The sequence below is a fragment of the Homo sapiens genome, chromosome 11 (genome assembly GCF_000001405.40).
Source record: "Homo sapiens chromosome 11, GRCh38.p14 Primary Assembly".
NCBI classification, from domain to species: Eukaryota; Metazoa; Chordata; class Mammalia; order Primates; family Hominidae; genus Homo; species Homo sapiens.
In genome coordinates, this window is record NC_000011.10 from 20,104,067 (window position 1) to 20,116,979 (window position 12,913).

Sequence of the window (12,913 nt, forward strand, 5' to 3'; positions counted from 1 at the left end):
TGCCCTGCTTGTTTCCAGTGGCGTCTCTCTGTCCCAAGTGAACATGAGCAATGACAGCTTTTACCTAAAATGTCCCCACCTAGCTGGGTCTGTGGGCCCTCGAGTCCCAGCTGCTGTGACTCCCTACCAGCTTGTCTTCCCTGCCCCGCTGCCATAGCACCACGCTGGTGCTCTCTCATGGCCAGGATGTGGGAGGGGCTGTTCACCTCGGTTGTGCTAGATTGCATTGCTGCCTGATTGACATCACCAAACACCCCTTGCCCCATATTGAATCTCAGTTGACTCCACCTCTCCTGCCTGGGCCCTTAGAGGTGGATGTGAAGGTGTCTCCTGGGCTAGGACCCCCGGCTCATTTCCACTGGCCATTCTATGGGCATCTCTGAGGGAGATCTATTGAAAGTGGGTCTGTATGTAATTACCAGAGAAATGTTGACTCCTCCAGCACACTGAGAGCATGGCTCACCTCTGCATTTAGGCTGTCCTGGTCTTGTTCATGCTTTCCCCTAATTATCCCTCAAGTCCATCGTCCTCCTCTTTCCCCCTATCACTGCCCCATCATCACCCAGCACACCATTGCCATCACCTAGCTGGTACGTCTGCTTGCAGCTTTCCCCCTGCACTCTGTAGCCAATCCTCTGCACTGTGGCAGCCAGACCAGAGTGAGCATTCTAGAGTACACATCTGACCATAGAACTCTCGTGCTTAAAGTCCTTCAGTAGCTCCAGCTCCCTATGGCCTGCAGGATGAAATCCAGACTCCGTTGGTTGGCAGGTCAAGTATGAACTTCAGCTACACTAAACCTCTGGTAGTTTCCCCAAACATCCATGCTATTTCCCATGCCTTTGCAAAGGCTGCAGCATCACCCCACTCCTGACCCCAACAACTGCTCCTGCCTTTCCTTATGTTGCTGCCCATTATCTGTCCAGTCTCAGCCCAGACATCCCCTCCTCTAAGGAGCCTTCCCTGATTCCCTTAGGCTTCATCATATTTCATTTCTTTCTTTGCCTGTCTGCCTCCTCCACCAGACTGTGAGCTCCTGGGAACCAGGACGGTGTCTTAGTCATAGTGATAGTTCCATAGCCTAGCACCGGGCCTGACATCAAGCACAAGAGGCAGTTTGTCTCAGTGGTTAGAGCCTAGCCTCTGGAGCCAGGCTTCTTGGTTCTCATCTTAGCTCTTCAATTAACTAGCTGTTTGATCCTGGAAAAGTTACATGACCTGTCTGTTCCTCAGCATTTCTGTCCGTAAAACGGAGGTGGAGATAATATCTATGTTAGAGGGTTGGTATCAGGAACTGTGAGTTAATACATAGTTACAATGTTTAGAAGAGTGTTCGGTGCATAGCTAATCCAATTTGTTGCATTAGCATATACACCTTCTGTTTCTAACGTGCTTTGGTTCCTGAGGTCAGCCATCATTTGGATCACCATCATCAGCTTGAAAAGTGTTTCTGACTTCCTCCAGATGGGTGCTTTGTGCCAACCACACGGAGCCTGTGAAGGGTTTCCTTGGCCGATTCCTGAGGAGGAAGCTCATGGAAACAGAGATCAGTGGGCGGGTGCGCAATATGGAGCTGGTAAAAATCATTGACTGGATTCCCAAGGTCTGGCATCACCTCAACCGCTTCCTGGAGGCTCACAGTTCCTCGGACGTCACCATCGGTGGGTGGGAGACTGGGGTCAGGGGGGCGGGCTGGCATCCTCAGGTGCCCATCCTCTGGGCCCTGGCCAGGACAGCACTTTGCAGGCACAGTCAGCAGAAGCTGGACTGTCCATAAAGATAGAAAGTGGGGCAGAGGGACAGTCACAGACCAGGTAGACCCCAAATTGCTAGTGGTCTGCAGAAGAGAGATGTGTCCAGCCTGGCCCAATGTAGAAACTGCTGGCTCACTAAAGAGCTCCCACCTCAAGGTTCCCCCAAGCTGAAGCTACCCTCTGGGATTGGCTTTGCTTGAAAAATAAAATTTTATCAGCATTTCTGAAAGCTGGACATTTAGAACAGAGAAAAAAGATCACTAACCATCCCACCATCTTGACATAATTTTAATTTGAGCTTAGTTTTTCTGTCCTTGTTCATATGTGTGTGTGTGTATATATATATATATATATATGTGTGTGTATATATATATATATATATATATATATATATATATATATATATATATGCTTTATGAAGTGGCAATCATAGCATACATATAACATGTTCCTTTTGGCCGGGCATGGTGGCTCATGCCTGTAATCTCAGCACTTTGGGAGGCCAAGGCATATGGATCACCTCAAGTTAAGAGTTCGAAACCAGCCTGGCCAACATGGTGAAACCCTGTCTCTACTAAAAATACAAAAAATTAGCTGGGTGTGGTGGCATGCACCTGTAATCCCAGCTACTCAGGAGGCTGAGGCAGGAGAATCGCTTGAACCCAGGAGGCGGAGGCTGCTGTGAGCCGAGATTGCGCCATTGCACTCCAGCCTGGGGAACAGAGTGAGACTCCAAAAAAAAAAAAAAAAAAAATCCTTTTTCATTTAGCACTATCTCATGAGCATTCTTTGTTGCTACTCAGTTGTTGTTTTTGTTTTTGTTTTTGTTTTTGTTTTTTGAGACAGAGTTTTGCTCTTGTTGCCCAGGCTGGAGTGCAATGGTGTGATCTTGGCTCACTGCAACCTCTGCCTCCCAGGTTCAAGTGATTCTCCTGCCTTGGCCTCCCAAGTAGCTGGGATTACAGGTGCCCACCACCACACCCAGCTAATTTTTTTGTATTTTTTAGTAGAGAAGGGGTTTCTTCATGTTGGCTAGGCTGATCTCGAACTCCTGACCTCAGGTGTTCCACCGGCCTCGGCCTCCCAAAGTGCTGGGATTACAGGTGTGAGCCACCATGCCCAGCCAATTACTCAGTTTTAAAAATTATTTTTAAAGGCTACAAAATGATCAAATGTAGATGTACCCTCATTTGCTTAACTGTTTCTGTTCTTTTGGACTTGCAGTCATGGGCTTCCATTTTTTTTTTTTTTTTTTTTTTTTTTTTTTTTTTTTTTAGGACGGAGTCTCGCTCTGTTGCCCAGGCTGGAGTGCAGTGGCGCAATCTCGGCTCACTGCAAGCTCTGCCTCCCAGGTTCACGCCATTCTCCTGCCTCAGCCTCCCGAGTAGCTGGGACTACAGGCACCCACCACCACGCCTGGCTAGTTTTTTTTTTTTTTTGTATTTTTAGTAGATACGGTGTTTCACCGTGTTAGCCAGGATGGTCTCGATCTCCTGACCTTGTGATCCACCCGCCTCAGCCTCCCAAAGTGCTGGGATTATAGGCGTGAGCCACTGCGCATGGGCTTCCATTTTTAAAAATCAAGATTAGTGATGCCACAGTGAGCATCTTCCCCATAAAGCCTTTCCTGGAGGAGGGAGACCCCCAGGTGGAATCAGGGATCAGAGTGTCCTTCTCTGTGGCCACCATCCAGGGCTAGTATACCTGCGTTCAGGCCTCAGCCCTGCCATCCCTCAGAACGTCTAGGGTCCCTCCTGTGAAGGGTGCTCGGACCATGGCTTCACCTGATGCCCCATCACCCATGCCCATTTGAGTGCTAATGTATTTTCACTGTGGTCTCCAGGCCCCCGGCTCTTCCTGTCATGCCCCATCGATGTGGACGGCTCGAGAGTGTGGTTCACCGACTTGTGGAACTATTCCATTATCCCCTATCTCCTGGAAGCCGTCAGAGAAGGACTCCAGGTGAGAAGACACCCCTGCTGGCTTCCTTGAAGCTGAGGGGGACTGTTCTGGTGACCAGATGAGTTGTCTTTATCTCCTCCTCCAGGAATCTGACTGACATGGGGTGACAACCCCTCACCTGGGAGTTCATCAGTGTAGTCCAGTGTAGGGACACACCTGGCTGCAAGTCCTGGCTCTTCCACCCATTAGCATTGTGACCCCAGGCCAGCTGGTTAGCCTTTCTGTGCCTCAGAGCCCTCATTGATATTCTGCCACAAAGAGTTTGTTGCAAGGATGAAATGGAAGTGCTCAGCATCGTGAGTGCCTGAGAAGTAGAACCATACACATGTGTAGTACTTCACAGTTTGCAAAATATTCTCCTATCTGCCTTTTGGGTTAAGCCTTGGATTAGTCCTGGAACTTGGACAGAAATTTGGTTTTTTACTCCATTTTTAAGAGAAAAAATGAGGCTCAAAGAGAATAAATGATGTGCTTAAGGTTATAAAAGGGAAGCTTGAAAGGTCTGGGATTTGAATCCATGCCTTCTGGGTCAAATTCCAGGTTCTTAGCCCTGAGGCTGGTGGCATTCTTTCCCTGACATCAGCACCCCTACCCTCTTAGGAACTTCGGGGCCCATAAGGCTGCCAGTTCCTCCTGCCTGACAGCAGTTGGAAAGCACAAATTCTTTTTATTTTTTTTTAGACAGAGTCTTGTTCTGTCACCCAGACTGGAGTACAGTGGCACAATCTCAGCTCACTGCAACCTCCACCTCCTGGGTTCAAGCAGTTCTCGTGCCTCAGCCTCCCAAGTAGCTGGGATTACAGGCGTGTGCTACCACACCTGGCTTTTTTTTTTTTTTTTTTGGATTTTAGTAGATACGGTGTTTCACCATGTTGGCCAGGCTGGTCTTGAACTTCTGGCCTCAAGCAATTCACCCACCTTGGCCTCCCAAAGTACTGGGATTACAGGCATGAGCCACTGTGCCCAGCCCGGAAAGCAAAAATTCTTTACTTCTCACTTGACCCAGGGTTTAACTGGAAGCTTACCATTAATTTGGAACTTGGGATAGTTTTATTGTTGAGCCTGGAGGCAGCCTAAGAAGTTCTGTAGGCTTTTAACACTCACAGTTAGTAATCAGCAGACATCACATGTGGCTGAATAATCCAGAAACCAGTTTGGTAGCCAGGTTTCCAAGAGTTTTTTTGTTTCCTTGGTACTGGACAGTGGGAGACACAAGATGCTATCGTAGGCCTGTGGAGGGTGCAGGGACTGGTGTGCACCCACAGGCACGTGTGTGACAAATGCAAGTTAATGGCTGCAGTCAGTGTTTGTCATTTCTGGTAGGGCTGAACTGAGGAGTATTCAACTATTTTCTATCTATGATTTATAGCAGCAATGATGGTCTTCAGAGGCATTCAGGACAAAGGGAGCTTGAAAAGGAAAGTATTTTGCCTCTTGTGATATATTTCACTAAACTGGAGCATACGCATTGCAAATTCAAGTCAGCATATTTAATAAAGTGTATTGTGAAAGCAGGAAAAAAGCAAGAAATTAGGCAACTTTTGGCCAGCCTAAAATCATTGGTTAGCAGAGCTCTATCAACTGTTGCTTTCATACAAGAAGGTATGAATGATTTTAGATCTTTGCAGTAGAACCTCCCTAGGTAGGTAAAGTCACTGGCGTGGATAAATTGACCATAATTTAGTCCTTAATCAAATGGTTTTGTTAAGACCACAGACCCAAACAACCACTCAGTCATTCCTATTTTGGGACCAGTGGAAGCATCTCCTACCTGCTGGATTCTTGCAGTCTGTCTCATTTCAGAAGCTTCTCTCCTCTGTTCTCATTGATGGCTTCCAGGGAGTGTGATATGCCCAGCACCTCTGGGAAACCCAAGCTGCTTAAGAAAAGTAAAGAGAATTGCAGGCAGATGAGGTGGACTGTTTGCCCCTGATTCCACCTCACCTTCTCCCATTTGCTTCATCTTTGCTCTAAATGTGGTCTTCTGGTGTAGGAAGGGGAGTGAACCTCAGAGTCACTGGGAAGAACTCACGGGCTCTGCTGAATAAAGGCCTCCCCTGCCCTGGAAGGCATTAACCAGGAAGCAGGGAGCCTGTCTGTGCTCCAGCCTTGCGCTGCACTTGAGCAGGCCCCTCACTGGTTAACAGTGGTTGGCGGTGCCAAGGCCCTGCTCCTTTGGACCTGAACCTAAAGGAAGGCTTTCTGGGCATGGCTGGAAAGGAACTCCCCTTCCCACCTAGGAGAGGTTGCTGATGGAGCTGATCATAGAGGATCATTGGGCGTCCTTCCCACCATGGGAAAGTGAGGCCCCAGCCATCTGGGGCAGGGAGCAGAGACATGCTCCCATCTCAAGACTCACTAGTTCAGTGTGAGGCAGGAAAAGTCATCACTGCTTTGTGCTTAGAGGTCATTTGAAGGTTAGTCTTTCAAGAGTGTGGAGCTGCAAAGGGAGGCGGCCAGAGTTTGCATCCCACTAAGTGGCTCAAAAGTGAGTCACTATGCCCCAAACTTGTGACCTCGCCATCCTGATCAGCCCAGGAGACTGTATAGACTGCGGATTCCTGCGGAAGCTTGCTGTGTTCTTCATGCCTCTGGTTTTGAAGGAACATTTGGTGATGTTTTTTGAGGGCCTGCTACTTGACAGGCACCATTAGGGGCCCGACGTGCATGATCTCATTTAGTTCTGACAGCCCAGTGAGTCTCTTAACAGATGAGGAAACTGAGGCTCACGGACGTTCTTGCCCCGTACCATGTCCACTCAGCAGGGTATGGTGGAGTGCGTGTTGGTGCCCAGGACTAGCTGGCCCCTTGGCTACTTCTGTTATTTTCAGGCTATCCTGAGGACACCCATCACTCCACTGAGAAGCCACAGGTGGCTTGGGGAACCAAATACTGAATTTTATAGAGTGGAGTTCTCCCTATGATTTCATTTGACAAAAGGATTCCTTTATTTTTAAAAAATTAAAATTCCCTACTCTCCTTTGTGTTACTTTGAGTCCACACCTACTCTAGGGTCACCTGCCCCTCACCTAACCCGGGTAAGTGGCCATGAAGTGAGCACATTGCAGTTCAGAGTGAGGTTCTAGGCTGAGAACAGGTGGAGTCCCTAGAATGGGTTCTGACAGGGCTACCGTGCACCAGGAGCTGGGATGGAGCGCTGCCCATGGTAGTATGGATTTGGTGGGAACGTAAGGAGACCTGCTGTCATCAGGGGATGAGGATGGCTTCCAGGTAGCCCCTCCCACAGGTACACCCGTGCCAGGAGGAAACATGATATCGCCCTCTAGTGAGCATAAGGTAGCACTGCAAGGGCGTGTAAGTGCAGATGCACTTGTGGAACTGCTTGGAGGACCTTCCTGAATGTGCAGCCGATGCATCCTTCTGTGATGTGCACACCCTCCCAGGAGCCCCCTGCATCCCACAGTCAGAAGGCTCACAGTGGCCCAGGTTTTAGTTTTCAATGTCTCAGCTCCCTGTTGTCCTGCTCCCATTTTTCCTGACCCAGTGGGGATGCCAGGTTCCTTCTCCTGCCTTAGGGAAAGTGAATGTCCTCCCCTCTGTGTCTGTCTGTCCAGATGTCTCTGCTGCTGCCCTCGGGGCCTGCAGTGGAGCTGAGGAGCTTTATGATGTTTCCTTTGCTTACCACAGTACTTACCCAGCCATTCATCACCCAGACTTGAACATGTCCAGTGACAAGTGAGGAGGCTTGTAAAAATATTTTCTGTTCTTGCAGATGATGTTAACATGTACCTAATGTGCATTTGTCTTATGACTCAGTCCTGAGCCCTGCTTCCCTTTGGAGCTGTCATTGGAAACACTTGCCAAAGTGTCTAAAGTCTGCAGGGTAACTCAAAAGGCCTTTCTCTGTGCCCAGGGCAGGCTTGGTGCCTGCAGGGAACAGGAACAGTGCAGAGTCAGTGTGGGGCCATTTATCGGATTATCCAGCCTGCTCTGAGACCCCAGACAGGTCTCCCGTCTCTTGGCCTTGGGTTCTCCATCTATAAATTGACAAGTTTGGACTAGAAGAGTGTTTTTTCAGGCTGGTTTCTATGAAGCCCAAAAGTTCCCCAGTCTACTCAGTTGAGGACCAGAGATGAAGAGCAAATGTTTGAAAACCATGGTGCCAGATAATCTCTGAGGACATGTTCAGCTCCAGGAGTTCTAGCCTCTGTGATTCTGCAGCCCTGAGCATGTCCTCATCCAGGCTGTAGAGTGGAGACAGAAGCAGTAGCTGTCACAGAAGCAGTAGCTGTGAGGGTTTGGTTCAGCCTCATGTGAGGTCTGGCTTGGGAAATGCAGCCCAGTTTCCACAGGGAAAGACCTCAGAGGGAGAAACTTCTCAAAATTGCACAAATGGTTCTAATGTGGAGCAGCCTTCTTCTGCTCCAAATATCCCACTTTTGCATTCTCTTCTGCCCTGAGACACATGCCCACATACACACAAACTCATGCCCCTCACACGATTCCTTCCTGCTCACACAATAATTGCTTTTCAAATGCCAGACTGAGCTCCTAGGCCTGAGACTCACTCCTGCCCCAGGTTAAGGAAGACTTAGCAACAGACTGGGCCAGAGCGCAGGACGGGAGGAGTGCTGGTGTCTGGGAAGGCAATGAGTCATAGGAGGCTGCATGACTTAAGCAGAGGGGGTGATAGCCACGAATACAGAGAGATGGGCCCATCTGAGAAGGGGCAGGGTGGGCAGCTTCCCTGACAGAAATCATAGCTAGAGGTCCCAGATGGCACAGACAGTCATGGGAGTATGGGCACTGCTGGCAGGGACAATGAGCCCAGCAGGCTGTCACACTGATATCTGGCCAACAGCCTGCTCCGCGTCTCCCTGCTCTGGGTCTGGCTGAGTCACGTGGCTCACATGACTCAGAGTTGTTCAAGGTGGTGTCAGTCAGGAGGGGTGGAGAGGAAAAAGGCCTGGCAAAGGAAGCTGAGGTTCTAGGTTCAAATCGGGCTCTGCCTGACAGCCTTTCTCAGCGGGCTCTGCTCTTCAGGCCTTGATTGGCCCATCTGGTAAATGAGGGGGTGGGGCTAGGTGGCCCCAGCTCCTTCCCCTTGGAAAGACGTGGTTTTGTTGGTTCAGAGCTCAGCTTCACACTGTTGTCAGCACCTTGCTCTCTGTACCCTCTCCACGGCAGGATTCGCGGGAGGGCAGGGAGAGCAGACAGACAGACAGACAGCCGTGGCCACCCTAGAGACACACTGCAGCCGTGGTGGCCCACAGGACTCTTTAGTCTCTGTGCTCTAAGGCCCCCTGCAGAGTCCTCTCTGCAGAACTACAGGTGACACTGCCCTGGCTGTGAGCATGTCCTGCCACATGGACCAAGTGGGCCAAACTAGTGGGCCGTGGAATTGAACATACTTAGTTTCCAATTCTGGCTTCTCTCCTCCCTGGGCCTATTTCCTCATCTGTAAATCACGGATATTAGTACTTCCTCTTGGAGTTGCACGGTGGTTAAGCAAGGTATTCGTAAAGCATTTCTCACGGTACCTGGCACAAAGTCAGCTGGAAGATGTGGTGGTGTTAAAGGAGAAAAATATAAAGCCTATACCTAGCTGTGTAATATACAGAGCCTCGTGTTGGGCCAGTCTAGGTTTCTGTTCTTCAAAGAATGTATGTATTTCTTGAAATTGCTAGTAATGGTCACTAAAATCATTTTACCATTAGATAATTGAGGCTTAAGAAAAGGAGCTTGGAGGCATGGTGTTGATCTTACCATAAAATTAAGTGATAATATAGTTTACTGTTTTAAGAGCCAATTAGCTATTATGGAATTTTGAGAAATACATGACAAGAGAGAAGCCCTCATAATTTCACTGCCTATGTGCAACCTCTGTTAGCAATTTGCTGTTTTGAAAAGGAGTAGCACTTCTATATAGGGGCTGTAAGAGTCAGACCCATTTCAAGAAACGGGGTTTTATTGAGCCAGGACCAGCCCAGCACAGTGGCTCACACCTATAATCCCAGACCTTTGGGAGACCAAGGCACGAGGATTGTTTGAGCCCAGAAGTTCAAGACCAGCCTGGGCAATATAGAGAGATCCCATCTCTTAAAAAAAAATGTTTTAAAAATTAGCCAGACATGGTGGCACACAAGTAGTCTCAGCTACTTGGGAGGCTGAGGCAGGAGCATCACTTGAGCCCGGGAGATTGAGGCCACAGGGAGCATGATCATGCCACTATACTCCAGCCTGAGCAACATTGCAAAACCTTGTCTCAATACAAAATCAAAGTAAATATTAAGCCAGGGCCATTGTGACCTCTGCCTGCAGTGTTGGTGCCCAGAACCCAAGGTATGTAGGCAGTATTCTTTGGGTAGATGCACCAAATGGAGTACTAGAGCTGGCTCTTGAAAGCTGATAGCACCTTTTTCCAACTCCACATCCAGTGACATCATGTCAGTGGTTTGAAGTCAGTCATGGTGGGATTGTACCATGGATGTTGGCAAATGCTTCAAATCAGGTCATTGTTTTTCCCCAAAAGCCAGTTTTTCAAATTGGATTATCAAGGCTCAGAGTTTAGGGTCACACGGTGAGTCAGTGGCAGAGCTGAGACATGAACCTAGATCAGCCTGACTCCAAAGCCTGTATTCTAGACCACTGGGTCATGCTGCCTTCAGCCTTAGCACCTCGAACTGTCTGCATCTTGGATGACTTCCTGAGCATGGAATAGAAGTGGAATTACTCCATCAGGGAAGGCATGATGCTGGATTTGGGGAGTTTTTCAGAAAGCTGCAAAACTGGGGCTACGAGAGAGATCTGGGCCACTTCCAGACTGTTCCTTCTTTGCCTGTTTTCAGCTCTATGGAAGGCGCGCCCCCTGGGAGGATCCTGCCAAGTGGGTGATGGACACATATCCATGGGCAGCCAGCCCACAACAGCACGAGTGGCCTCCCCTGCTGCAGTTACGGCCTGAGGATGTCGGCTTCGACGGCTACTCCATGCCTCGGGAGGGATCGACAAGCAAGCAGATGCCCCCCAGTGATGCTGAAGGTGACCCGCTGGTGAGTCCTCAGCCACCAGAGCAGCTCAGCATTCCTTTAGCACTTACTGTGTGTTGGGTATGATGCAGAGCCTCTGGAAATACAAAGGTGACTAAATCCAGCCTTGCTTTGGAAGGCTGGACCCAAATGACTGGGCCATTTTTGCCAATATTTTCTTCCATGGTTTTAGTTTTTCACTAAAAACTTCTCCTCTGAAATTTTTTTCTGGTATTAGATAACAGATTAAGAATTGATTTTTCCCCTTAAATGTTCTTATACCTACTGTCTCTATACAACACTTTGCCCTCTGATTTGGGATGCCACCTCTATTACCTACTATCCTATTACTTTGATCTCTCCTACCGATAGCAGAGCAGAGGAAGAGATTGCTAAGGACCAGAAGCCCAAGGCAAATGATAGGGTAAACAGGGAGAGGTCTGAGGGCAGGAGGGACTCACAGAGGGGAGGAGGCCTGAATATGAGTCCCATGGCCATTGAGATGAGCTAAGTCTTTCACACTGTTTAAGCTTCTTATTTATTCGGCTGTTGCTAAAACAATAAAGGCCCTTTAAGAAGCACCCAGGCTGGGGTGGCTCACACCTGTAATCCCAGCACTTTGAGAGGCCAAGGCGGGTGGATCGAGGTCAGGAGATCGAGACCATCCTGGCTAACATGGTGAAACACCGTCTCTACTAAAAATATAAAAATTTAGCTGGGCGTGGTGGCAGGCACCTGTAGTCCCAGCTACTCGGGAGGCTGAGGCAGGAGAATGGCGTGAACCCGGGAGGTGGAGCTTGCAGTGAGACGAGATCGCGCCACTGCACTCCAGCCTGGGCAACAGAGCAAGACTCCGTCTCAAAAAAAAAAAAAAAAAAAAAAAAGCACCCGGGCTGGGTGTGGTGGCTCATGCCTGTAGTCCCAGCACTTTTGGTGGGCAGTTACAGCCTGGGCAACGTAACAAAACCTCTTCTCTACAAAAAATACAAAAATTAACTGGGCATGGTGGCACATGCCTATAGTCCCAGCTACTCAGGAGGCTGAGGTGGGAGGAGGGCTTGAGCCTGGGAGGCAGAGTTTGCAGTGAGCCAAGATTGTGCCACTGCACTCCAGCCTGGTTGATAGAACCAAACCTTGTCTCAAACAAACAAAAGAAACACCCGGGCCAATAACAGTAGTATTTCTAATCGATTGTAGTACTCTACCAATATAAGACCCACACAGAGTCACACTGCTAAATTAGACCTAACAAATCAAAAGCCCAGTAAAATAAAAAGGAAGCAAATATACCAAAACCTCCCATGGTTAAAGGACTATTATCATGCCTTAAATTTAGCCCCAAGCTTTCTTGGCAGGCATAGCAAAAAGAAAACATAACAGAGAATATTATTTACATTACCTAATGAAAGAAAATATTATAAGAGATGTAGCAGGATTAAAAGACAACTGATTTACTGTTCTATTCCTAGCAGCTAATTAAGTCCCTAGATTAAAAAAATAATAATAATATTAATAGGCGATTCAGGTTGTCTGCCATCCTACTGTTTGGTGGGATGTAGCTGTGGTTCTGTTGAAGATTGCAGTGGGAACTGTATTTTTTAAGGATTTATTATTTGTGTTGCCATGTACAACCTAGTTTGCAATATTTATAACAGTAGTCTTACAAAGGAAAGAAGCATACTTTAAACAGCCGTTTGCAACGTTAACCATTGCTGAAAGCCAAAGTCACGGAGGTATTTTTTGCAGGGGCAAACTCATGAGGTCTTAACTTACATAGAAAATAGAATTTAGTATATTTAGAGGAAAGAATGGCCAGCCCATCCCTAAACAATCTTTTCTGAGCCAGTAACATTTGTATCACTGGTTGGACACAGAAGGTGTGTAGGTAAGACCCAGGATTCTTGGAAATGCAGAAACAGATTTCTCCTTCCAACCCCAGGCCCCCAGAAGTGAGCTGTGCCAGTCCAGCCACTTCCATTACCGAGTTAGATATTTGGTATTTCTCCTCAGTTCTGCTCTTTCTGCCCAGGGCCATATGTCTCTATTATCATAGCTCTCTTCTGTATTAATCCTTCTCACTCATGAGACTGAGACTTCCATGAAAACAGAATTTACTTGCTTTTGTTCCAGAACCATATACTGTGGACACACTGGGAGTGTTTAATGAGTGAATAAGTAATCCCAGTTGCCAAGGATTGTCCATTATAC

General features: G+C 48.1%; 1 protein-coding gene across 50 annotated transcripts in view, besides 4 other annotated features; it reads left to right on the forward strand.

Annotated features, from left to right (window-relative positions):
• Positions 1-12,913, forward strand: part of NAV2 (neuron navigator 2) — a 776,366-nt gene that overhangs the window by 758,831 nt on the left and 4,622 nt on the right. For all 50 annotated transcript variants that reach the window (XM_017018520.3, XM_047427824.1, XM_017018522.2 and 47 more), the window contains 3 exons: positions 1,465-1,661; positions 3,598-3,716; positions 10,526-10,729. In XM_017018520.3, the coding sequence (XP_016874009.1) occupies positions 1,465-1,661; positions 3,598-3,716; positions 10,526-10,729 (520 nt within the window). The remainder of the gene's footprint in view (positions 1-1,464; positions 1,662-3,597; positions 3,717-10,525; positions 10,730-12,913) is intronic.
• Positions 7,507-8,406: an enhancer, noted in NCBI's record as "H3K27ac-H3K4me1 hESC enhancer chr11:20133119-20134018 (GRCh37/hg19 assembly coordinates)". NCBI's record gives its function as "activates a minimal SCP1, AML or CMV promoter by ChIP-STARR-seq in primed H9 embryonic stem cells {active_cell/tissue: H9 hESC(primed)}" and the evidence as "EXISTENCE:reporter gene assay evidence [ECO:0000049][PMID:30033119]".
• Positions 8,407-9,306: an enhancer, noted in NCBI's record as "H3K27ac-H3K4me1 hESC enhancer chr11:20134019-20134918 (GRCh37/hg19 assembly coordinates)". NCBI's record gives its function as "activates a minimal SCP1, AML or CMV promoter by ChIP-STARR-seq in naive H9 embryonic stem cells {active_cell/tissue: H9 hESC(naive)}" and the evidence as "EXISTENCE:reporter gene assay evidence [ECO:0000049][PMID:30033119]".
• Positions 10,111-10,612: an enhancer, noted in NCBI's record as "H3K4me1 hESC enhancer chr11:20135723-20136224 (GRCh37/hg19 assembly coordinates)". NCBI's record gives its function as "activates a minimal SCP1, AML or CMV promoter by ChIP-STARR-seq in naive H9 embryonic stem cells {active_cell/tissue: H9 hESC(naive)}" and the evidence as "EXISTENCE:reporter gene assay evidence [ECO:0000049][PMID:30033119]".
• Positions 10,613-11,112: an enhancer, noted in NCBI's record as "H3K4me1 hESC enhancer chr11:20136225-20136724 (GRCh37/hg19 assembly coordinates)". NCBI's record gives its function as "activates a minimal SCP1, AML or CMV promoter by ChIP-STARR-seq in naive H9 embryonic stem cells {active_cell/tissue: H9 hESC(naive)}" and the evidence as "EXISTENCE:reporter gene assay evidence [ECO:0000049][PMID:30033119]".